The sequence below is a fragment of the Homo sapiens genome, chromosome 7 (genome assembly GCF_000001405.40).
Source record: "Homo sapiens chromosome 7, GRCh38.p14 Primary Assembly".
Taxonomy (NCBI): Eukaryota; Metazoa; Chordata; class Mammalia; order Primates; family Hominidae; genus Homo; species Homo sapiens.
Window position 1 is genome coordinate 90,757,467 of NC_000007.14, and position 25,842 is coordinate 90,783,308.

Genomic DNA, 25,842 nt, shown 5'->3' on the forward strand with positions numbered 1-25,842 from the left:
GGCATTGCATTCATGACAGTGTTGTTCTTTTTCTGCCTGTAATACGTGTCATTCATCCTTTACCTATTGGTTCTTTTTAAAGTACAAACAAAGGATATTTATTTGCCCCATCAAGAGATTTGTGTAATTCTTTTTTTTTTTTTTGTTTGAGACAGGGTCTCACTCTGTCGCCCAGGCTGGAGTGCGGTGGTGCATGCAGTCTTGGCTCACTGCAACCTCTGCCGCTGAGGCTTAACCGATTCTCATGCCTCAGCACCCCCGAGTAGCTGGGACTACAGGCACGTGCCACCACACCCAGCTAATTTTCATATTTTTTTGTAGAGACGGGGTTTTGCCATGTTGCCCAGACTGGTCTCGAACTCCTGAACTAAAGTGATCCACCCACCTCGGCTTCCCAAAATGTTGGGATTACAGACATGAGCAACCATGCCCAGTGGGTGTGTGTAATTCTTGATTGTGGAGTAGTTGCTATTAGGCATAGTTTAGAAGCTTGAGGAGGAATAGAAAGTGTTTTTAATTATTCTTGATTCTTTTGGATCTCTTATCCATGTAGGAACACATACACTGGAGAGAAGTTAACTGAGATTCCTATACAGGTAGTCTGCTTTGTAGTGAGCTTGGCTTCTAACAAATGGCTGGTTAACCCTGTTCACATCAACATACAAAACTCACAAATATGCTTTTAAGAAAAAGCTTTGAACTTACCACATTCTCATATTTGAGTAGAAAGTTTTTGTTTTTTGATCAGTGTTCTCCAGATTTCTTCTCTGTCTCTCTCTCTGTCTTTGTCTTTCACTGTCTCTTTGTCTCTCTCTCTCTCTCTCTGTTTTTATGTTTAGATGGGGGGTGGCAGTTATCATTACTTCTGACTGCTGACTGCTGATCTCTCTTCTGGTTTGGTTTTCTGATTATGTTCTCTCTTCTAAATTCCTGTAGCATTTAATATAGGATTAAAAAATTATGCATCGTATAATACTTTGGAAAATTAAAATATATGGCATTTTAAAATGTCTTTAATTCAGCACCTTGAAATCATCTTTTTACCTCTCAGTTTACCAAGGACTTCTGTATATTCAGAGATGTGTTAATATTTTTTGAACTTATTCAACTAGTGATGAATATTCATTGTATTGTTTATAATTATGCCTTTTTTATGCTGTCGGTGAAAAAGAGGTGACTCAGATGAGGATTCTGCCCTCGGGAAACTTAATCTTGAAGGGAGATGGTACAAATACATAAGTAATTCTATATAAATGAAGATGTATCAATACTATATTCTATATAAGCTAGAACGTAGTGAGAAAGGCCCAGGTACACAGTGGCTCGTGCCTGCTATCCCAGCACTTTGCAAGGGCAAGGCGGGTGGATCACCTGAGGCCAGGAGTTCGAGACCAGCCTGGCCAACATGGTGAAAGCCTGTCCCTCTTAAAAATAGAAAAATCAGCTGGGTGTGGTGGCATGCACTTACAATCCCAGCTACTCGGAAGGCTGAGGCACGAGAGTCACTCAAACCCGGGAGGCAGAGGTTGCAGTGAGTCGAGATTGCACTATTGCACTCCAGCCTGGGTGACAGAGCGAGACTCTGTCTAAAAAAAAAAAAAAAAATCGTAAAACAAAAACATCCAGGTAAAATGGTGTGGGGTTTCAAAGGGAATGAAGAGAGGATGATGTTGACTAAAGTATTTTAAATGTTTTCTCTCCAGTGGCCACTGATTGAGTTTAGAAGCCACATCTTTGTGTGCTTTTAAATCAAGCTTCCCTCATCACTATGTGTCTTTGTGGAATCCTTGGCACTGTTCCCTTTTGGGGCTTACTCCTTCCCCCCAAGCAAATATAATGAGATATTCACTCATTGGTTATCAGACTCTCCACTAAATTTGTTGAACTTTGAGGGCCTTAAGCTAAAAGTAAACAGATTCACTTTGATTATTGTGGTAGTTTTGGTTAAGCAAAAGTGTTTTGTTTGAGTATTGAAGTGGAATTGGCTTTAAGCAATATGATCTGGGAGGATTGGTGGTTTGCTTATGCAAGGGCACCCATGAATACCTGGTTGTTGAAAATAAGAGCTACTACCTCTCACAACCTCAAGACCCAAAGTTGAGACATAGTGGGACCCATATTCTCCTCAATGTACTTTGATCTGCTGGTAGATCACACCTGAGTCCCCCAGGTTCTGCACCCTACCTCAAGTAGTGAGTGGGTATGAGTCTTTGCTCTCCCTGGGGCAGGGTCCTCTCCTTTCTTTCCTACTGAATCTAGGGGGTATGTGAGTCTATAGCTGCTTTTGATTTTCTCAGACTTCACATGCCATTTAGAGGAAAAACAGCTTGCTCTTTGTTCTGCTTCTAGAATTGGAGTATTCAGACTAAGTTGTCCCACAGATGATCCTGATCTCTGGTCACTTTCTCTGCTTATGTTCAGTTTCTGTTGAGGTGAAGATGCCAAAGCATTACTTCTGCAGGAGCCTGCCAAAGAAAAGCCTGCCCACACTGGTTTGTGCCAGCCATAAATTGTTATCTCAGAGGTCAATGAGAACAATGAAGGAATTTGCTCACTTTATGTGACATGAGATTTATGTGATTGAAAGTGCCAATCTTCTTTTAGCATTTCATCCTGCCAATTTGTGCAGAATAATTGAACTTGAATTAAACGACCTTATAAATTGAGAGACTACACCAAACCAAGACTGAAATATACTAAATACAGTTCAAAGAGCTCTTCAAAACCCCAGGAGAAATAGGGGGGAAGAAATGCTATTAATTAAAACAAGCAGCAGCGCAAGAAGAAAGGCAGCAGCAGTTAACCACCTTTTCACAATATGTGAGATTAAAGATGCAGTTCTTACTGCTTGCACTAAAGGTCAAGTTCATTGAAACACTATCAGGAGGAGTTTGAAGAATTCTAGAAGTCAGTAATCCCCAGATGGAAAACACTGGATTCCTGGTTCATTGAAGCTGCAATCTTAAGTGTTGACACCTAGACTGTCATGTGGACTTCAGAGTCCTGAGAGGTTACCTGCCCACAAATGGGAGCTTTCTACAAAGAGACACTAGTCTGATTACATTTTACAAGCTCTGCTGTAGGATGCTCCCGAGGCCCATGCTGTTTCTCCTTAGGTCTGCTCTGACTTCTTTTAGACTTTGGGCTCTTGGACCAAAGCTTATTATTACAGCTCACTTCAAAGATCAAGCCTGTAACTGCACTATTTAATCAATGAAAATAACATCACAGTATAATACAATCAGTGTTAGTTTTATAATTTAATGAACAAAATACAGCATTACAATGTATAACAGGATAAACTGAGGGAAGAAAAGCTAACAGAGTAAATGCAGTTCACAATATGGGATTTTCCGATCTGTGTTCCTTCAGATCTGTGTATAGGTGAAAGTTTGAAAAGTAGGGTTCCTATCCTTAGCTAGTCCAAGGAGGATAATAGCCCACCCACCAACATCTGCTAATTTTATTTTATTTTTAAACCCTAAATCCTACTCAAATTGCAGATTCAGCCCTGACGTCCTTTAGAGGAAGAATGCAGACATTAGAGTCTGGTTCATTGGTACAGCTGGTTTCATTTAGCTTGCAGCAGATAAACAAACAATGCTTAATCTTTTTGATGAAAGTGACAGTGAGGATATTGTTTAAGCAAGAAGATGATTTTAATTATTAGACTAAATTGTACTGGAATAACTTTCCTATTAGACAGTGTTTAAACGTATTGGCCTCTCTTAGCCATGTTTATTATCAGGTTCTTTGATCATTTGGACAGGAGACGCTCAATACAATCAGTGATATTTGCTGTTGTTAAAATTGTGGTCATATGTCAGCTATGCCCATCTGGTGGAAATGGAGGCACTCTTTGGGGTTTTTTTTTTTTTAAAGAGTTAGTGTAGAAATGTTCAATTACTGAAATAATTGAAAGTCATTATGTGAGGACTCCTAAAACCCCTCTCCCAAAGTGGTTTTTGAGGAGGACTTGGGGAAGGATATAATTGACTTCAGGTTAAAGCATACCCATGTTCCTGAGCTGCTTTATTGTTACTGTCATCCTTTTGTTTAAACCAGGATGGTAGGGAAGGAGCATTTCTAGTCTAAACCAGTGGTTCTCAACTAGGGATAATTTTGTTTGCCAGGATATATTTGTTGGTGTCTGGAGACATTTTTGGCTTTCACAACTTGAGGAGTGGTGGTGTCACTGGCATGTAGTGGGTAGAGGCCAGAGATGCTGCGGAATATCCTATGAATGAACAGGACAGTCTCCTGCAACAAAGAATTATTTGGCCCAAAATGACATTAGTGCTGAGATTGAGAAACCCTGGTCTTAAGAAATGCATGGAGGCAGTGTCTGTTTAAGATAGTGCATTCCTTTTGAGGTTGTAGTAACTCTCTACTGTGTTCTGTGGGCTGAGTGGGCCAGGCAATAGGTGTGTAGTGGTGAACAAAATTGACAGGTCCCCTGTTTTTATTAAGCATATTATCCAGTGAGGGAGGCAGAAATTAATCAAGTCAGCAGACAGAATCTGTAATTGTAAATTATGTAAAGGAAAAGAGAGCTGAGGAAGAATTAAGACCGAGAGTAGTGGGTTATGTATATTTGCATAAGAGAGGGGTATAGATAGTAAATATACATTGGATGGATGGAAATGGAAGCCTTGTTGAGGAGAGGACATTTATGCATAGGTCTGAAGGAGGAGATGTCACCAGGCAGGTAAAGAGCAGGCACAAGAGTGTTTCATGCCAGGCCCTGAGGTGAGAAAGAGCTTGGTGTGTTTTATACCAAATGAAGGAGCTAATTTTATTTTATTTTTTGAGGTATGGTAGGACTCATAGTTTTCTCATTGTACTGGGATCTGCTGGTGGGTCACATCTGAGTCCCTCCAGGGTTTGGCACCCTCCCTCAAGTTGTAAGTAGGTGTGAATTTTTGCTCTCTCTGGGATAGGGTCCTCTCCTTTCCTCCTACTGAATCAAGGGGGTATGTGAAAAGTGAGAGAGCACAAAAACAATGAACAGATAAGTTACAAACGTGACAGATATTAATACAGACATATCAAAATCACTTAAAATGTAATTGGTCTAAAGATACCAATTAAAAGACAGAGATTGTCAGGGTGGATAAAAAAACAAGACCCAACTATATTTTATCTATGAACTATCCTTTAAATACAAAGGTGCAGATTGAAAGCAAAAAGATAGAGAAATATATGCCATGTTAACGCAAATTAAAAGATAGCTGGAAGGCCCGGTGTGGTGGCTCACCCTTATAATCCTAGCACTTTGGGAGGCTGAGGCGGGCAGATTACTTGAGATCAGGAGTTTGAGACCAGCCTGGGCAACAGGGGGAAACCCTGTCTCTAACAAAAAACACAAAAATTAGCCAGGCATGGTGGCACATGTACCTGTAATCCCAGCTACTCAAGAGGCTGAGGCAGAAGAATTGCTTGAACCCGGAGGCAGAGGTTGCAGTGAGTACCACTGCACTCCAGCCTGGGCAAGAGAGTGAGACCCTGTCTTAAAAAATTAACATAGCTGCAGTAGCCGTGTTAATTTCAGACAAAGCAAGTACTTCTGATGATTCAGAAGATCATCAAGATTAAAGAGAGGCATTACATGATGATAAAGAGCTTAGTTCTCCAAGAAGACAACCAACTTTATTGTATACACACCAAACAACAGAGTGTCAAAATACGTGAGGCAAAAATTGATAGAACTGAAAGGTGAAATGGACAAATCCACTATGGTGGTTGTGACTTCAACACCACTTTGTCGGTAATTGACAGATTAAGCAGGCAGAGATATCACTAAGGATTCGATGATCTGATCAGTACTGCCAAAGTAAACAAAGTGGAAGCTGCCAATATTTCAAGGCCTGGACCCAGAACTGGCACAGTGCTCCTTTCACCTACTCTTGATCAAGTGTTCAAAGAGACCAGATCCAAGCGTAGGGGCCATAGACCACACCTCTCAATGAGGAGTGTCAATGAATTTGGGGGCCGTGTTTTAAAACCCCGTATAGAGTTTGGTTTTTATTCTAGGCTGAATTAAATCTTTGGTCTCATCTTTGTACACAGTTCTCTCAGCTATCTGTTCTGAACATATATTTGCTGACTCCTTTTTGGGTTAATTTCATTAGATTTTAGATCTCTCCTTGAGAACAATAAAGACACAGGGTGGGGAACATCACACACTGGGGCCTGTCGTGGGGTGGGGGGATGGGGGAGGGATAGCATTAGGAGAAATACCTAATGTGAACGATGAGTTAATGGGTGCAGCAAACCAACACAGCACATGTATACATATGTAACAAACCTGCATGTTGTGCACATGTACCTTAGAACTTAAAGTATACATTTAAAAAAAGGTTCTGTTTAGTATAAATGGCTTTGTATAGAGGGGGCCCTTCTGTCCTAGTGTACCTGGCACAGTTCTGGTTTATGCTTGTCATTTTCATGATTATTAATAGTGCTCTTTTTACTCTGAATACTGTCCCATTTGGATGATAAATTATATGATCATATTATATAATTTTTATTTTTCTGGAACTTGGTAAAATATTTTGCCAAAAACCGAAATTTGATTGGAATATGTTATTGTGGGATCCAACTGAGTATTTAGAGCCATTAATGTCAGTGAATCTGTGGGAGCATTTTTGAACAGTTTATGAGTGCTGTTGAATCTGTAATGCAGATTTGTGAATTGATTTTAAAAGTTTCGTGGGAGGTTAATGAACTTTATGTACAGTTCTTAGACAGAAAGGTCTGGCAATTAGACATGATTTTTGTGAAATAGGAACTAATCAATCTAAAATTCAAATGACCTACTCAGGTGCCTTACTACTCGTAACATAAATGTTAGGCTTAGAGTAATTCAAGATAGCTGAAATGCTGGAAATGTGAAAGAATTAACAAGGTGGGGTTTGGGTGAAATTAGGTGCTGTTAGAGCTCAAAGCTAACAGGTTGCGGTGTCAGTGAGTTTTAGTCAAATGCTCCCAGTCTATTTAGCACTGGCTCATACAAAGGAAGTATACTGTACTACTAGTAGGAATTGTAACAATGGAGAGATGGCAGGTACCTTAAAAATCTAGGATTGCAATTTGCATAGAGTAATTCAGTGCAAGATTGTATGGTAGACACTGTTGATGTTGGGGAGATGATCTGACAGAAAGGAAATTATTTTAAAGATTTCAGGCGTAAGACTTTTTTTTATGCTTAATGGTTGATTCTTGAGCAAATATGTTTTCCCTTCCTTCTAGAGTTCTGAGGAAACAGACATAACATTTGCCTGTATAAACAAATTCTTTGAATTTTTAAAAGATATCTGTCTCTAGTTCAGAAGGGTCTCTTTGGGATTGCTGTGTTTTTAACTATCTCTGTTTTCAGGGACTTAATGATCCTAGAGATCTGCAAGCATTGTCTGAGCTGAGGGAAAATTGTAAACATCAGGCACTTTGGTTAATAGTTGAAAGACCTGTTGTAACCCAACAGAGAATAAGGTAGAAGTCATTCCTAATTGGCCTGATGGGTGAGACAGGAGAGTGAATTCTCATGCAGCTTAGCAGTCAGCATAGGTATTGAAAGACAAGCCCCTGGGGAAGCAAGAGAGGAACCAAGGGCTTTTGTTGTATGTCTCATCAAACCTCTTAGGAGAAAGAAGAGGGAAATTGAGATATTGAGAAACCAAACAAGTAGTGTTACAAATGAGGCCTACTGGGAGTCCCAAAGGAAGCCAGATTCCTAATGAGAAAGCAATGGTCTAGGTTAAACAGTGACTTTTTTATTAAAAAAAGTTATTTTTTTTTTACTACTTGTTCTTGAGAAAGTTTCATGGCTAAGTGCTGGAGAGTTGAGGGCACCTGGAACTGTGCCCAAAGCAGAGCATAAAGGATTATTAAATTAAAAGAATGTGTATCATCTCAGTGAAACAGAAGGGATGAAATAACAGACCACCAATATTTAGAGCTGGGCAAAGAGAGAAGTGAAGAACAGAGGAGAGATTGTCTAGAGAGGTGGCGAGAAAACCAGCAAAGTACCAAGGAAGAAAGAGAGTTTCAAAGAGCATGGACGATGATGTCAGATATTCAGAAAAGTCAAATCAATGAATCCTGAAAGTAATTTATTACATTTTACAACTAGGAAGGTTTTTTTTTTTTTTAAGAATGTTAAGGGACTGGTGGGGATGGATACTAATTATTTTGTGTTGAAGAGAGAATGGGGGATGAAAAAATGTAGGGTAAAATACATATAAGCTACTCTTTTTAGCAGTGAGGCAGGGAAAGAAAAGAGAACTAGAAGAAAGGGGAGAAGTGTTTTGTGTTGTTTCAGTTTTAAACTAAATGGGGAATAATCGAGTATGTATATAGACTATGACAAAGGAGTCAGTAGAAAGAGAAAAAGTTATTAAGGAAACACTTGAAGTATATTCTTGATGGAGAAATCTGAGGAGCTCTATTTTCTCTGTCACTTGAACTTTATTTCATATGCTCCATGTAATTGGTCTTCCTGTTTCTTTTTCTAATAATGTGTAGATATGAAATAGCTCTTTTTATTGTCGGCTTCATCTCATTTAGGATCTAGACGTATAAGAAAATTATCCTTCTTAAATATCTTTTATTTTTATTCATGTTCTTTTGAAATTCAGGTACATCATGGAACTCTCTGTGTAGCACATTTGTTTTTCTTCTTTGCTCCATTTTCTTCATTGATACTAGTTGTGATTTTTTTTAATGACATCTCTTTTTTTGTGAATTTTCTTCCTTGATACCACTTCTCTCTTTGTAATTTAGAGTTATGAAATAAAGCTACTATTTATTGAACACTCCATTTTTTTCACCTGTGAAAACAGGGTTAATAATAGAATTGATTTCATACAGCTGTGAAGAATGTATGTAAGCAAATACATTTAGTGTTTAGAACATTGTCTCACATAAATGTTCAATGAATATCAGCTACTTCTTTTTCGTTTCTTATAACAATCCTAGAAGAGATTTGAGATAATACAATTTCCCTTATTTTACGGGTGAAGAAACTGAGACCCATAAAGTTTGAGTAATTTGCCTACAATCACACAGCTAAGTTCCAGGGCCAGAATTCAGATCCAGTTAGTCCAACTCCAGAGCTGAGTTCTTAACTTTTACCATTTTTTGTAAAACTTCAAAATCTGCTTTCTTGAAATCTATTCTTACCCTACCCTTCTGTCATGCCATGACTATGCCAATTGTAAGGTCCAGGGTCAGGTTTGAGCCCCAGCCGAGGTCCGAGGGGAGTGGGTAGATGGGCAGATAGCTGAAAGAACACTCGGGGGGCCATAGGCAGGGGAATATGGTTTTATTCAGCAGCTCTCTCATCAACAGCTCTCTCACACTGTCCGCCTTTATCTTGGTTGTCTGCTCCGGCTCCACAGCTCCTCTCAGCAGCCAGCTCTGCCGCTCTGGCTGCTCCCACACACAGCTGCACGGCCAGCTCTCCCTTGCCTGCAGTGTCAGCAGCTTAACTCCTTCCCTCTGGGCATGAGTGTGAGCCATGTCGAGCCATGTAGTACCCTGGCTCCCCTCTGTCCATCTGCAAGATGGACAACTCCGGTACTCTCTTTTTCTCTAGGTGCAATAGCCAAGCCATGCCATGCCATACTGACCCATGCTAAACCAAGCCCCCCATGCACAGTGTCAGCAGGGCAATTATACCTTTAACAGACAATAAATAATGGCTTACAGCCAAGTATGAACTTACACAAACAGGTTATTTAACAAGTGGAGTATGTGCCTGCATCCTAAACTCACTGAGTCATGCAGGCCTGGATGTCTGCCTTGGCCTATTTCTTGACCAAAGCACATCCATGTACCTTATACCTTCCTTGTTAATAATTAACTGTAGGGTACATAGCCAATTTCTTGCATAATTCTCTTATTTTCCCTCTGTATCCATGCTGTTTTTTCTCTCTAGTCATTTATTATTAATATTCTCCACTGTTCTAGTCAATTCCACAGTGAAATCATAGCTATTTTCCCCCCTTGTTTCACCTAAGTGATTTGTGAGTTTTGGTATAGTAGGTGCCTGCATGAAATAGAGCGCTCACTGCTCACCTTCCCTTTCTATCAGATAGATTTATTTTGGACAAGGTTTTCTATTCCTTTGCTGCCTTCTCATGTGGACTTCAGCCCAAGATTTGATGGGCTCCATTTCTCTTACTACCTTTTTATTCATTGCCATATAAGCATATGACAAACATAACTCCTGACTCGCCAGCACCTTTCAACCCTTTTATTCTTCTCACAAATAACATAGGAACTAATATTATAGTAAGAACTATACCTGAAAAAATAAAATTTTTTCTAATACGTTTTTGAGTAAATCAGAATCTGAGCCCTCTTGAGCCTCCACCTGAGGTATATCCCCAGCTCTTGCTGTGAATGTAGTTAAGTTTTCAAAATTGAGTTGGGGAGACATTGATTCTCTCAACCTGTTGTGTCCTTTGAAACTCTTGCCAATTTTTCATTATCTTTGTTCTCATGTTTTTAGTCACTTCCTTGTACATTCATATCTACGTAGGTATATTTATATTGTTTACACGTATTTATTCACATAAACTGTCAGATACAACTTTCTTAAATTGCTAATCACTGTTGTGATGATTGATGTGACCTAGACTAACTTACCATTGACCCTCTGTTAAAAAAGGGCTCGTTTAATTAGTAAGACCTGGAGAGAACCACTGTATTTAAGGTTATTTCATCCAATAAACGTGGTTTTGTAGAGGATGTTTATAGTTGTAAATGTAATTATTGTAGCTGGCGCAGCCAGATCTCTATTTAGAGATAATATTAGGAGACACTTAATGATCAGCATGTATAGTTATGTTTCTCTTTCTACTTTTCAAAAACTTTTCCTGGATTTATATATATTTGTGCACATGTGTGTGAGTGTGGGTGTGTGTATATTACAAAGAAAGTTCAGAGAGGTAGCAGCGATTATTTTTGAAAGTTGGAGAAAGCAGAGTTGGCAGGATGAATGATGGCCCTGTGTTTACGTATGTCATTGGTAACAGCTGCACTGAAAAGTTGGGCGTCTCAGTTTCTCATCTGCCACTTTCTTACTGTACTTCAGAGTTGGAGCCATTCCATTATCTGAAATGAGTGAATTGTCCTCTTTTTTCGAATATCCGATATAATTTGTATTTTCTTTTTAGTCACTCAAAATTGGTGATTTTTATAGTATACCGATTGGATGCATATTTGACAACTAAGCAATTGTGTTCTCTCACTTAGATTCAAAATCTGTGAGTTCAGCTGACTAATTAGTGGTCTGGATTTTTAAAATCATGGTAAAACGAAGACAATAAATGATATGTTTCCTTTAAAAATTTGTGTATTTGAAAACAAAGATAAAATGAAAGGTAATCCTATGTATTATAAGCAGACTAAGTTGCTTATCTACCATGGACACAGGACATTACTTTTATAGTGTCGATTTTTGATAGTAATTTTTATATAGCTACATTCCAGGCTTTTTTGAACAAAAGAGTTAATGTTAAGAGGCAAATGGTAGACAGTTACTAATCAGTGATTAAAACCTTTGTTTGCAGATATTTTACATACAAAAATTTAGACATTTATATTCAATTTACCTAATTTACAGATATGCTACTCTTAAAACACTTCTTTTTATAAGCTAATATATTATACAAGCCAAAGTCCTATTTATTTTCTGGGCTAGCATTTGTATCTAAGGTGCTATTATGGAAGGATGACTACTGATTTCCCATCTGTTTCAGTTGGAGAAGAGTCATGCCAATTGTATTCATTGCTCATTTTGGGTGAAAACTGAGCACATATCTAACTGCTTTTGAGTATATGTTGCCCCTGAAGCTAGGTAGTTTATTCTTCTAACACTCATTTTCAACTTAAGTGAAAAGCATATCAGAATGCTTTTTATTAGTGACTGTAAGGATTGACACACACACAAAGGAGAAACATTTAGGAAAGCTGACTTCTGTGATTTCTTTCTCTTTTCTTTCTTTTTTTTTTTGACTGAGCCCTCATTCTGTCACGCAGGCTGGAATACATTGGCACCATCTCAGCTCACTGCAACCTCCGCCTCCTGGGTTTAAGCGATTCTCCTGCCTCAGCCTCCCGAGTAGCTGGAATTACAGGCATGTGCCACCACACCTAGCTAATTTTTGTATTTTTAGTAGAGACGGGGTTTTGCTATGTTGGCCAGGCTGGTCTTGGACTCCTGACCTCAGGCGATCCATCCACCTTGGCCTCCCAAAGTGCTGGGATTACAGGCATGATCCTCTGCGCCTGGCTGACTTAGGTGATTGCTTACTTATTTTATGAATGGTCCTATGAACAGAGAAAGCTGATGTAATCTGTCCTTTGTAGTTGTTTGCTGTTTTAGTCCTCATTTGAGATAGTTGGACTTCATTCACTTCTGAAGTGTTTATTGAAGCCAACTTGTGTGAAAGGCATCTATCCAAGGAAAAGCCATATAAACATGAATTTTCCTCAAAGTGGCCAAATTCTTTTTTCTCACGTAAAAGGAAATTAGATTTTTTTATTAGATGCTAGATTTGGTAGCTGAGGTTTAACATTACTGAATCGCTTCTTGGTTAAGACCTTGCCAGTTGGCCTTACTTTGTAGCACTAAACGCAGCAAAGCAGATTGCTCTATAGAAAAGGGATGCTAATGTCCTGTTTGATGGTGATGAACACACATGTAATTGCTTGTAAAGCCCTGAAAGTAGCTTAGATGTTTTTAACAAATTGTGTATTCAGGTTTTCAAATAATTACAATGAAGATTTGCTACCAGATTTTGTAGTATGTATGTATAACTATAATAGTGAAGTCTTGGTCTTGGAATTCTAACTTTTTAGTATACTTATCTTTTAAGTATATTAACGTTATAGTCTGTTCTGAGGTTTATGTAGTGGACTTAAAAACTCAGTTAATTGACCTTTATTGGGTAGGATTAAAAATGTATTTTTAACTTCTTTAGGTGAACATTGTTGATTGTTAGCTTTTACTTCACTGGTTCTTAATTATCTTCATTCAAAGCTCTACTTTAAAAAATGTAGTAATACAAACGTGGATTGATGTCCAGCAAGATCAAATATCACATTACTTAACTGGATTAATTTTGCAGCAGACCCAGCATCCACATCCCTCTGGAGTCTGCTGTCTTTCCCCATATCCTTACTGCTTCCTTTGTTTCTGCTCTCCAGGCTTTAAATGTGCTTTGCTGCCTCACTTCTGCAACTTTGTTCATGATAGACCCCTTCACGCTTAAGTGACTTGTGTCTCCTTTTGACATGCCTACAACTGATCCCATCTTCAAGGTTTAACTCAAGCCCCATCTATACCAGGAAACTTTTCTGACTTCTGACAAGACTATCTCCATGACCAAACTTTGTCAGGCTCCTCCAGGCCCTCTTCTTAAGTAGGCGTCACCCTTGGCCCCCATCCTTGACAGCGCTGCACAGACCAGTTTTAGCAAGAGTCTTGCTTAGTCAGTCTAGAGAGAATCCCCTCACCCTGATGTCTGATCACCCTGCCTGCCTCAGTAAGAATCATGTTATGTCCGCTTAGCAAGAATTCCTTCTAGCCTTGATGTCTCCTGTTAGTAATTTTCCATCCACCAATCCCCCAGCCTGCTTCTGTCTATAAGTCCTCACTTGTTCTTTGTATCCTGAGTTGACCCTAATCTTTCTTTCCCCATGCAATTGTCTTGACACCTATCACAATAGTCTTTTTTACTATTTAAACAAGGATCGGAATAATTTTTTCTTTAACACTTCTTGCATGATTCAGTTACTGCCTTGCTTGGTATCTCTTTTAGTTCCTCATATATATGAACTTATTCTTCAGTACCTGTTGAAATGTTACAGCTTCTTTTCTCCCAGAGTTTGGCGAGCAGGAGGGAGTGTTACAGCTATTTTACTCTCACAGTTTGGTGAGTTCTGAGTTCTTGTCTTATGACCAAAAGGAATGAGGTACACAGACACTGGAGAATGAGTAAGTCAGAGTAGAATTTTATTGAGCAACAGAAGGAAAGCTCTCAGCAGCGAGAGGGGACCCAAAAATGGGTTGCTGGCTGCAAGCCTGAGTCTGGGGTTTTTATGGGCTTAGAATGGTCAAATATGTGCTGATTGGTTTATGGATAGGCTTGAGAAGATCACCATTCAGAAAGAGAGATGATAGTGTAAAGAACCAATTGGGGGCTGAAGTGAAGGCTTGGCCTGGGACCAATCAGGAGCTGAAGTGAAGCCTTGGCCTGGGACCAATCAGGGGCCAAGTGTACTGAACGAGAATGGACATTGTCACTCTGGTCACTGGACTCCATCTGGAACTGATAGTTTGGTGTTCAGACTTCAAAATGTCCTTGGCTTGAAGGTCGAGTTTCACTGGGAACCCGTTCCTGTCTGCCTAGGAATTTGTCTGCCTCCTATTGCTATCAACAGTACTGTAAATAGATGCTCAGTTAATAAATGTTACCTGTGTAATGATTGGAAAATGTTTTGGAACATTCCAATCAGGCTAAGGTTGATGAGACAAGACTAACAGATGGACTTTTGGGATAGAGATTTGTTGTCAGGACATGGAGGGTCTTCAACTGAACATTTGGATATAGTCTCTGTACCTGGGTTCATAGAGTAACATCTGCTAGCAGAATTCTCCTGAAGATGATTTGATTGGTTGTTTTCTGTCACTGTAAATAGAGCACTCCCACTGAACTGAATTCCAGCCAGGTAGGTTCTGCCTCCATGTGCCTGCCAGGCCTCTACACTGCTTTCTCACTCAGTCTTCTGTTGCCTAGCTAGCAAGATTGCTTTCACCAATAAATCAAAATGCAGGAGCCATGAAACATTATGAAAGAAATAAGTGTTGGGATCATTTTCCTTACAAGGAAGGTGTGTGCTTATTGGAACTTGAGGCTTCCTGGGTGATATGGTTTGGCTGTGTGTTCCCACCCAAATTTAATGTTGAATTGTAACTCCCAATGTTTGGGGAGGGACCTTGTGGGAGGCGATTGGATCATGTAGGCAGATTTCCCCGTTGCTGTTCTCATGATAGTGAGTGAGTCTCAGGAGATCTGGTTGTTTTGAAAGTGAGTAGCACTTCCCCCTTTGCTCTCTCTTCCTCTTGCTCCACCAAGTGAGGAACGTGCTTGCTTCCCCTTCGCCCTTCTGCCATGATTGTAAGTTTCTTGAGGCCTCCCCAACCGTGTTTCCTGAACAGCCTGTGGAACTGTGAGTCAATTAAACCTCTTTTCTTATAAACAACCGAGTTTCAGATATGTCTTTATAGCATGCAAGAACAGACTAATACACTGGGTTTCTACTTAAGCCCATCCACTAAAAGGATATATTATTAAACCACAGCGAAATAGATGACCAATTATTAAAGTTCTGTAGAATGTTGTTCTTGGGAAAAATTTACATATGAAAAAAACCTAGGAAATAGACACACATGTTGAAGAATTTAACTCTGAATAGTAAGATTACTATTGGTGAAAAATTTTTCTGTACTGACCAAGTATTCTGCCATAAACATGTATCAATCAGTGTTATAATTAGGATAGGACTTATTAATGTCATTCTAAAATATATTGGTTTATTTTGACGTTTGTAAAGAATGATTAGTTGAAAACCTCCAAGAATAATGACACTACTTTCAGATTAAATAATTTGATCATGAGTGTCTTGAAAGAAAAAACAGTTATAAGCAGAGTACTTTTGATGAACAAAGGAGTAGTATAAGAGTGTGGACTACACACCTTTCTTCTGTGGTTCATGCTTTAATTATTGCAACCCCACAGATAACTTAGGAAGTCTGACCACCTAGATCCAAATTGTGAACCTGCCTCTTCTAGTTGTGTGACTTACAACAAATTATTTAGCTACCCTGTGTCTCAGTTTCTTTATAAAGTGAAGACAGTGGTAGTATCTATCACACAGAGGTATTAGCGTGATTAAATGAGACAATGTAAATAAAGTCCTTGGCCCAGGGCCTGCCGCATAGTGGATACCTGAACATCAGTGCTAGTTTTGCTTTTACTTTATTTTTAGAGACAGGGTTTCACTCTGTCACCTATTCTAGAGTGCAGTGGCAAAATTATAGCTCACTACAGCCTTGAACTCTTGGACTCAAGTGATCCTCCTGCCTCAGCTTCCCAACTAGCTGAAATTAAAGGTGTGAGCCACCTCGCCTGGCTCTATTTTTGAATTAAAGACTGTTATCTTGATTTTAAATTTATTGACTGTGTATAAAACCAGTTCATTCAAAATCAGGCTGATTTGTACTCTGGCTTGCTTGGTAGGTTTTAGAAGTAACACTGGCATAGGTCTTCTCTTCTCTTCTCTCCTCTGGCATAGGTCTTCTCTTCCCTCCTCTCCTCTCCTCTCCTCTCCTCTCCTCTCCTCTCCTCTCCTCTCCTCTTTTCTTTCTTTTTTTTTTTTTTTTTTGAGATGGAGTCTTGCTCTGTTGCCCAGGTTGGAGTGCAGTTGTGCGATCCCAGCTCACTGCAATATCCATCTCCTGTGTTCAAATGATTCTCCTGCCCCAGACTCCAGAGTAGCTGGAATTACAGGCGCTTGCCACCATGCCTGGCTAATTTTTGTATTTTTAGTAGAGATGGGGTTTCACCATGTTAGCCAGGCTGGTCACGAACTCCTGACCTCAAGTGATCTGCCTGCCCTGGCCTCCCAGAGTGCTGAGATTACAGGTGTGAGCCACTACGCCAGGCCAGCACAGGTCTTTCTTATACCAGTTATATATAACGCTTAGAATTTGTTCTTTTTAAAATCTATTTAGCTCTTCAGTTATATATGAAGTAATATAAAACCTGATCTTCAACATGTGTAGGTAGTTCTTTTTCAACTTTATATTTAATTGAATAACTTTTTAACTTGATAATGGTCTTGCCTATAAGACAGTTCATTTTGAGTGACACCCTTATTTTTAGAACAGACCTTTAGATTCAGGTAATCAGTGATGCCATATAGCATTGTTCTCTAATCCTTTTTTGTCATAAAAGCCTTAAAGTAAATAATTTTGGCTTTTCTTGATATTATTTTTAATTTCATTTTGAATATATTCAATGGTAACATTTCCTATAAGTATGCAAGTAATACATTTTTATTGGGGAAAATAAAAATCACTCATAATCCTCTTGTCTTAATATCTCTCTATTACTTTCACCAGGCTACTGTGAAATTTTCTTTCTTTATTCTCCAAGGGCCTTTGCAGGCAACCAGAAAAAGAAAATACTCGCTTAAAATTGTGGTTATAACTTAAACTTCAGGGGTGTGTATGTGTGTTTTGGTCTCTATTAGAATGGGTGGAGAAGAGTCTGAACTCTGAATACCCCTGCCTTAATGACCCTCGAGGGCTGTTTTAATTGTTTCTCCTGCTGTTCTAAGCTTCACTTAATTTCATATGACTATTTTTGAATGCGACATGCAAAATCTCTAGTTAATACTATTTGGCAATGAGTAGTACTTGGGGACTCCTCAGAGCCTCATGGTGGTGAATCAGTGATGTGATTTTTTTGGTGCATCTCATTTCACTGCTTTGGAGATGCTTTTTTCATGAGAGTGGAAACTTGACTTTTCTTGTGTGATCCTGGGTGTGTATGCCTCTGTTAGAGAAAGAGGGGGCATTTATGACTCTGCTCAAGAAACAGAAACAGAATGCTTTAAACACATCTTTGGACCAAGAGGCTTGAAATGCTGTAAAGTTGAGCATCTGATTTATCTGCTTTTCTTTAATCCTAGCTCATGCAATGATTCATTCTCATCGCGATGCTGTATATGGCTTTTAAAACAGAAGATTAGGAATGAATGGGTTTGACTTTGATTTTTAGATACAGTATGATATGTAGTATGTAAGAATTAGCAAGAGTTTAATAAGTAATCAAAGATTGAGGAAAAGTGATAATATCAAGAAGTATATCCATTTCTTTTCTGCTTTTCTAAAACAGTTTCTGTGGGAAAAAAAAGCTACTACAGATAAAAATCTATTTGAAATGGCAACTTGACCTCAGAATGAGAAAATTTGATTTCTCTAGAAATGTGAAATACAGGTTTTTCAAAGACCTCAGTAATGTGTTTCTCCAGACAAGTGTGCTTGAAAGTAGGACCAGAGAAAAACGAAAATACCTCCTCCTCCCCCTCCCCCTTCCCCTCCCCCTTCCCCTCCCCCTTTCTCCTCCTCCTCTTCTCATTTTCCTTCTCCTCCTCCTCTCCTTTTCCTTCTCCTCCTCCTCTCCTCTCCTCCTCTTCTCCTTCTCCTCTTCCTCCTCCTCTTTCTCCCCCCCACCCTTCTCCTACCTGGCTTCCTCCTTCCCCTTTTCTTCCTTCTTAGTTTTTGTTATTTGGTGTTTGTTTGCCTTCACAGAATTCCTTTCTTCATAGTTTTCAGTGTATGTGGGTATTATATGGTACATGTGGCATTATATGGTACATGTGGGTATTATGTTTATGTATAAAAACTCATAGAGAACTAATTAACATAGTAGGTTTCAAATCTCAGTATGTGTGAAAAATCAATCTGAAAAACTCATAAGGATCTACATTTACTTATTTTTTATGAAACTATCCCATCTCATCAAACACGGCCCTTCTCTAGTAATTTCAAGAGTATGTGTAAACAACTACTTTTTACCTCTGTGGATGACTTGGAGATTTTTCCTGTGCTTTGCCTTCTTTTGATGTGTTTGGAGTTCTTCCATTCCTGGTCCTTGATAACTTTGCCTTACTTTTGTTTAGAATTTTTCCTTCTTTCATCATTCATTTTGGTTGCTTGGTACTTTCCTGTCTTCTCTGTTAGCTGGTAATCTCCTCAAGGGCTGTATGCATGTTATTTCTTGCTCCACCTGGAACAATTCCTTGCATCTAGGAAGTATTTCTCTTCAAAGTCCTGAGAAGTATACAACCCATAGCCCTAAAACTCCAGAAGGTTAATGTATTAAAATGGATGATTAAAGTCTCTCAAAACCGAACAATCAAACATCAAAGCAGATAAGCACAAGTCATCTCAATGAGAGAAGTGGAAGAATTAGAAACCGAGTGTGAGCTCGGCTTTAAAGTTCACACACACAGGGGTCATGGGGATAGAAAGGTCACAGAAGAAGTGCAAGCACTCACCTCCTGATATCATTGTTTCCAGGGAGAGTTAGTTTCAGGCATGAAAGTGCAGAACAAATGTAGATGTGAATTAAATTAACAAATGTCTTAGGACATTTGATAGTACTTTGGTTCTCTTTGGAGTTCTGATTGAAGACTTGAGATGACTGTTGCACAGAATTTTAAAGAAATTTGGAGTTGAAACTGTTTCATCACTGTCCGTGATCTTTGAGGATCTATGAAAAATTGGAGAGGCATTAGCAGTCTTGAGATGTCCAAACCTTTACAGAAGACGATAAATCTATGAACCAGAACCGAAGGAAATGGTGTGACATTCCCCTTGCACGCTCTTCTTGTTCCCCCTTCTCTAATGAAAATACTGTTCCGATGGTTTCTCAACAATTAGAAAGCAAAATAGTGACACGAAGTTAGTTAAAAAAAAAAAAAAAGTCATACTTAAATAACCTTAATTCCTTGTTTGGATCAGATTTTTAAGCTAGTAGACTTGCAGAACACTGTAGCTATTATATATCTGCTTATTTTAAAAATGTTGCTAAATGTTCCCAGTTATGTTCTGGTAGATAAGAGGATCATAGGCAGTTGGATGATGTGCTGTTGCTGGTGGTGGATCTAAAACAGGCTGTTCAGCTATACCTGAGAGTAGTAAGTTTTCCAGTAAGGTGCTGTTTCAGTATCTCTTTTACGTGGTAAGGACTTGGCTCATTTGTTTACCACTGAGCTTTCAACTATGAGGACACTCAAAATAGTTGAAAAACTTTTGAATGTTTATAGTAAAAAGGCGACTTCAGTTTTGGAGAGACCAGGCAAAGGAAGAGAGGCAGTGAGAAGCTGGTGTTGGAACCTGAAGGTTTAACACAATGATTTTCAGTCCTGGTTGCACGTTAGAATCACTGCGGGTGTTTTTACAAATACAGATGCTAGGACTTTACCCCACACCAGTTAAATCAGGGGCAGAGCTAGGCATTGTTGTTTCAAATCTCCTCTGGTGATTCTGATATGTAGCCAAGGTTGAGGACCTGTACCTTGTCATCTGTGCAGCTGCAAAAGCTCGGCCCATCCCTCTCCATGCTTTGCCTAGTGCACATAGGGGCAGCTGTGCCGAGCAGCAGCCAAAACAGTAGCCTCTATTCCACTGCTTCCAAGAGACTGCCAGGATGGAATCCTCTGTGCCTCACATCACTGTGTCATATCCCAGGCACTATCCAAAGTAAAAAAACTCCCTGATCATCCACTATGCCTCAGACTGCACCCTCATATTTCTTCTTCCCTTTTGTTTTTAACCATTTGCAAGTATCATGTTTCTTAATGTGTGCCCCACACTGTCCCTTTCCTCCATCCTTTAGGCTCTTTCCATGTGTTCTAGATATAGAACATCATTCTCTGATCAGGAAATTCCTACATATTTTCTACCTCTTCTCTGAGTGTTTACTTCTGCTTTAACAGAAAACTGGCTGTCTCTTGCAGTCCCCCAAGTAACTCATAAATTTATATGTCTGGCCTAGATTTTTCTACTGAGATCCAGACTCATAAATACCAATGCTTCCTTTATGTCTCCAGTTGGATGTTCCCAGACTAAGATCTTTTTCCCAAACAGAACTCTTGATACATTTTGTCTAAATCTTTCATCCTTTAATTTCACTCATTTCAGTAAATGATACCTACATCCACTTAGATGCTAAAATCAGGAAGTAATGGAGTCATCCTTTATAATTTCCGTATCCCAATTCAGTTTATCCTAACAGCCTGTTTGTTCTGTCTTCAAAATACCATTTTCCTTTTTTCCCATTGCTCTTACCAGTACCCTGGTGAGAATAGCCACCAAGTTTCACCCAGAGCCCCACAACAGCTTTCTGACTGCCCTTCCGGCTCCCACTGTGTGCTCCTGCAGGAATTCTCCACACCATAGCGAGTGAGCTGCAGACACAGAAGTTAATCATGCTGTTACCCTTCTTAAGATCTTTCAGTGTTTTTTGTATCAGTCCTTTATGCAGCCCAGAAGGCCCTTCGTGATCTGGCTCCTGTCCTCTCTAGCTCTTCCACCCACACCTCACTAGCTCTATCCTTCTTCCCCCATTTTTTCTTTCCCTTCCTCCTTCTCTTCTTTATTTTTGTTTAACACATCACATTCTCACCCTCTGAGCTTTTGTGCAGGTTGTTCCATCTGCCTGGAATGTTCTTGGTTTATTCTTTTATCTTCCTTTTTTCAGCTTAATCCTTTCCTGTGGAATGTAAAAATTGACCGACCTTCCTTCCTTCCTTCCTTCCTTCCTTCCTTCCTTCCTTCCTTCCTTCCTTCTTTTCTCTCTCCTCTCTCTTTTCTCTCTTTCTTTTCTTTCTCTCTTCTTTTCTCTTTTTTAAGACATGGGCAACTGGACACGGTGGCTCACGTCTGTAATCCCAGCACTTTGGTAGGCCGAGGGGTGGATCATAGTGAGTTCAGGTGTTCGAGACCAGCCTGGCCAACATGGTGAAACCCCGTCTCTACTACAGATACAAAAAATTAGCTGGGCGTGGTGGTGCATACCTGTAATCTCAGTTACTCGGGAGGCTGAGGCAGGAGAATTGCTTGAACCCAGGAGGCAGAGGTTGCAGTGAGCCGAGATTGCGCCATTGTACTCCAGCCTGGGCAACAGGGTGAGACTCCGTCTCAAAAAAAGAAAAAAATATAAAAAGATGTGCATGCTGTGTTGCCTAGGCTGAAGTGCGTGGTACAATCATAGCTTGCTATAACCTTGAACTCTTGGGCTCTAGTGGTTCCCCGACCTCAGCATCCTAAGTAGCTGGGACTACAGGCACGTGCCACCATGCTCAACTATTTTTTAAATTTTTGTAGGGAGAAGGGATTTTGCTGTGTGGCCCAGGCATGTCTCAAACCCCTGGTCAGAAGTGATCTTCCTGCCCCAGCCTCCCTATTTCTTTTATATAGCGTGCTGAGATTTTCCCTTATCACATTTATACCAATGCATATTGTATTCTTTAAAAAAGAACTTATTATAGAAAATAACTAGTAGAGAGCATAGTCATAAACTTCCATGAAGCCATCACCCATCTTCAAACATGGGCAACTCATGACTGATCATATTTCATCTATATTCATTCCCTGCAATTATTTTGAAAGAAAACCCCGGACCTTATATTACTTTATATTAGATTTATTTTTTGAAAGATAAGCATTGTGTTTTAAAACACATGACAATACTATATGATAACATGTAAAAAGTTAAATGTTCCTTAATATCAACTATACAGTATTAAAATACACTTTGTTTGAATCCAGAAAAATTGAGTCTATACATTGCAATGAATTGCAGTTACATGTCAATCTTTTAGTCCATGGGTTACCCCTACCATGCCTTTTTTCCCCTTGAAGTTGATTTGTTGAAGAAACAGATTAATTTCTCCTATAGAGCTTTAGAAGTCTGGATTTTCCTTATTGTTTCCTAATGGTGTTATTTAACTTGTTCCCTTATGCCTTTTAAATAAGTAGTTAGATTTAGACTTGGTCAGAATCTAACTGTTGATAATCTACTAAGTGATTATGGTTAGCAAAATGGTGATATTCAAATTCTGTCTTTCCGTCTTCATTTGTTACATGCAGTGCATCTATAGAGAAACTTCCTCAAATCAACTACAATATTTAATTATACTGAGGTACAGTGTATATGAAAGGGTATGAAAGGGAAGGAAAATGTTTGATATATTCTGTATTTAGAAAGTTTTAAAGTAATGAAATGATTCTGTAATACCCTCCAAAATGACCAATTAGGTTTTTTATTTCATTTTAAAACTTATAAATTTATTTATTTATTTTTATTTTTATTTTATTTTATTATTATTATACTTTAAGTTTTAGGGTACATGTGCACAATGTGCAGGTTAGTTACATATGTATACATGTGCCATGTTGGTATGCTGCACCCATTAACTCGTCATTTAGTATTAGGTATATCTCCTAAAGCTATCCCTCCCCCCTCCCCCCACCCCACAACATTCCCCAGAGTGTGATGTTCCCCTTCCTGTGTCCATGTGTTCTCATTGTTCAATACGGTGTTTGGTTTTTTGTTCTTGCGATAGTTAATGAGAATGATGATTTCCAATTTCATCCATGTCCCTACAAAGAACATGAACTCATCATTTTATATGGCTCCATAGTATTCCATGGTGTATATGTGCCACATTTTCTTAATCCAGTCTATCATTGTTGGACATTTGGGTTGGTTCCAAGTCTTTGCTATTGTGAATAGTGCCGCAATAAACATACGTGTGCATGTGTCTTTATAGTAGCATGATTTATAATCCTTTGGGTATATACCCAGTAATGGGATGGCTGGGTCAAATGGTATTTCTAGTTCTAGATCCCTGAGGAATCGCCACACTGACTTCCACAATGGTTGAACTAGTTTACAGTCCCACCAGCAGTGTAAAAGTGTTCCTATTTCCCCACATCCTCTCCAGCACCTGTTGTTTCCTGACTTTTTAATGATCGCCATTCTAACTGGTGTGAGATGGTATCTCATTGTGGTTTTGATTTGTGGTTTTGATTTGCATTTCTCTGATAGCCAGTGATAGTGAGCATTTTTTCATGTGTTTTTTGGCTGCATAAATGTCTTCTTTTGAGAAGTGTCTGTTCATGTCCTTCGCCCACTTTTTGATGGGGTTGTTCGTTTTTTTCTTATAAATTTGTTTGAGTTCATTGTAGATTCTGGATATTAGCCCTTTGTCAGATGAGTAGGTTGCGAAAATTTTCTCCCATTTTATGGGTTGCCTGTTCACTCTGATGGTAGTTTCTTTTGCTGTGCAGAAGCTCTTTAGTTTAATTAGATCCCATTTGTCAATTTTGTCTTTTGTTGCCATTGCTTTTGGTGTTTTAGACATGAAGTCCTTGCCCATGCCTATGTCCTGAATGGTAATGCCTAGGTTTTCTTCTAGGGTTTTTATGGTTTGAGGTCTAACATGTAAGTCTTTAATCCATCTTGAATTAATTTTTGTATAAGGTGTAAGGAAAGGATCCAGTTTCAGCTTTCTACATGTGGCTAGCCAGTTTTCCCAGCACCATGTATTAAATAGGGAATCCTTTCCCCATTGCTTGTTTTTCTCAGGTTTGTCAAAGATCAGATAGTTGTAGATATGCGGCATTATTTCTGAGGGCTCTGTTCTGTTCCATTGATCTATATCTCTGTTTTGGTACCAGTACCATGCTGTTTTGGTTACTGTAGCCTTGTAGTGTAGTTTGAAGTCAGGTAGCATGATGCCTCCAGCTTTGTTCTTTTGTCTTAGGATTGACTTGGTGATGCGGGCTCTTTTTTGGTTCCATATGAACTTTAAAGTAGTTTTTTCCAATTCTGTGCAGAAAGTCATTGGTAGCTTGATGGGAATGGTATTGAATCTATAAATTACCTTGGGCAGTATGGCCATTTTCACGATATTGATTCTTCTTACCCATGAGCATGGAATATTCTTCCATTTGTTTGTATCCTCTTTTATTTCATTGAGCAGTGGTTTGTAGTTCTCCTTGAAGAGGTCCTTCACATCCCTTGTAAGTTGGATTCCTAGGTATTTTATTCTCTTTGAAGCAATTGTGAATGGGAGTTCACTCATGATTTGGCTCTCTGTTTGTCTATTATTGGTGTATAAGAATGCTTGTGATTTTTGCACATTGATTTTATACCTGAGACTTTGCTGAAGTTGCTTATCAGCTTAAGGAGATTTTGGGCTGAGACAATGGGGTTTTCTAGATATACAATCATGTCATCTGCAAACAGGGACAATTTGACTTCCTCTTTTCCTAATTGAATACCCTTTATTTCCTTCTCCTGCCTAATTGCCCTGGCCAGAACTTCCAAAATTTAAACATACTTTATATCTTTAAATTGCAGGTATTATTTTACTAATGCACAAGTTGTCTAATTTGACAAATGGGAGCCTCTGGAATCTCTTTGACATGCCTCAGTCGTTTTTGTACTTAGATGTTCTGTGTCTGTTTCCTTGGCTAAACTATTGGCTCCTTAAATGGGGGGACTTGTCTATATTGTTTATCCTTCACTCCACACACAGGCTCATAGTCTCTCCATTAATATTTATTGAATAAGGGGTGGGATATTAAAATTTCATTAAGTGAAAGGCTGTCTTATAGAGGAAGACCTAGTTTAGTCTTTGTGGATTCAGATCTTGAATCAGAGAGTAAAACTCACAGGAAGCATTTTTGTCTCAACATAAGGAGGAACTAAATAATTTGAATTTTTATAGAGGAGTTGGGGTTCCATGAAAATGTTTTAGGGACTACTTTGATCCAGGCAGTGAGAGTACAAGGATAGACTATCAAGCCAGTGAGGATCTTTTTGTCTCCTTGGGAGCCTGGATGATTACTGAGGTTACTTTTAATTGCAAGATGATAAGACCCTAAAATCCTTGGTTGACAGATTTTATTTTTAGAAAGGTGCAAATTTGGGTGGTTTAAAATTGCTGAAATGTACATAATTTTTTCCTATGAACTTTATATGCCACTCTAATATTATGTTTCTAAATATTATGAGTTTGTATATTTGATAAAGCATTGATAATGATTAATCATGCTTTAGTAGCAATCAATTCTTTTTATAGGTAATAATTGTTGATTGAATATGCCCTTCCCTCATTTCATTAAATCTTTTTGCATTGTTAGTCACATCCTAATAAATAGCTGTTATACTATTGTTTTATTAATCT

At 38.9% G+C, this 25,842-nt stretch overlaps 1 protein-coding gene across 4 annotated transcripts in view, besides 4 other annotated features; it reads left to right on the forward strand.

The window, feature by feature from the left end:
* Nucleotides 1-25,842, forward strand: part of CDK14 (cyclin dependent kinase 14) — a 614,270-nt gene that overhangs the window by 161,146 nt on the left and 427,282 nt on the right. The window lies entirely within an intron of this gene.
* Nucleotides 7,244-7,815: an enhancer, noted in NCBI's record as "OCT4-NANOG hESC enhancer chr7:90394025-90394596 (GRCh37/hg19 assembly coordinates)". NCBI's record gives its function as "activates a minimal SCP1, AML or CMV promoter by ChIP-STARR-seq in primed H9 embryonic stem cells {active_cell/tissue: H9 hESC(primed)}" and the evidence as "EXISTENCE:reporter gene assay evidence [ECO:0000049][PMID:30033119]".
* Nucleotides 9,016-9,517: an enhancer, noted in NCBI's record as "H3K27ac hESC enhancer chr7:90395797-90396298 (GRCh37/hg19 assembly coordinates)". NCBI's record gives its function as "activates a minimal SCP1, AML or CMV promoter by ChIP-STARR-seq in primed H9 embryonic stem cells {active_cell/tissue: H9 hESC(primed)}" and the evidence as "EXISTENCE:reporter gene assay evidence [ECO:0000049][PMID:30033119]".
* Nucleotides 9,518-10,017: an enhancer, noted in NCBI's record as "H3K27ac hESC enhancer chr7:90396299-90396798 (GRCh37/hg19 assembly coordinates)". NCBI's record gives its function as "activates a minimal SCP1, AML or CMV promoter by ChIP-STARR-seq in primed H9 embryonic stem cells {active_cell/tissue: H9 hESC(primed)}" and the evidence as "EXISTENCE:reporter gene assay evidence [ECO:0000049][PMID:30033119]".
* Nucleotides 19,646-19,705: an enhancer, noted in NCBI's record as "active region_26252". NCBI's record gives its function as "activates an Ori minimal core promoter by ATAC-STARR-seq in GM12878 lymphoblastoid cells {active_cell/tissue: GM12878}" and the evidence as "EXISTENCE:reporter gene assay evidence [ECO:0000049][PMID:35858748]".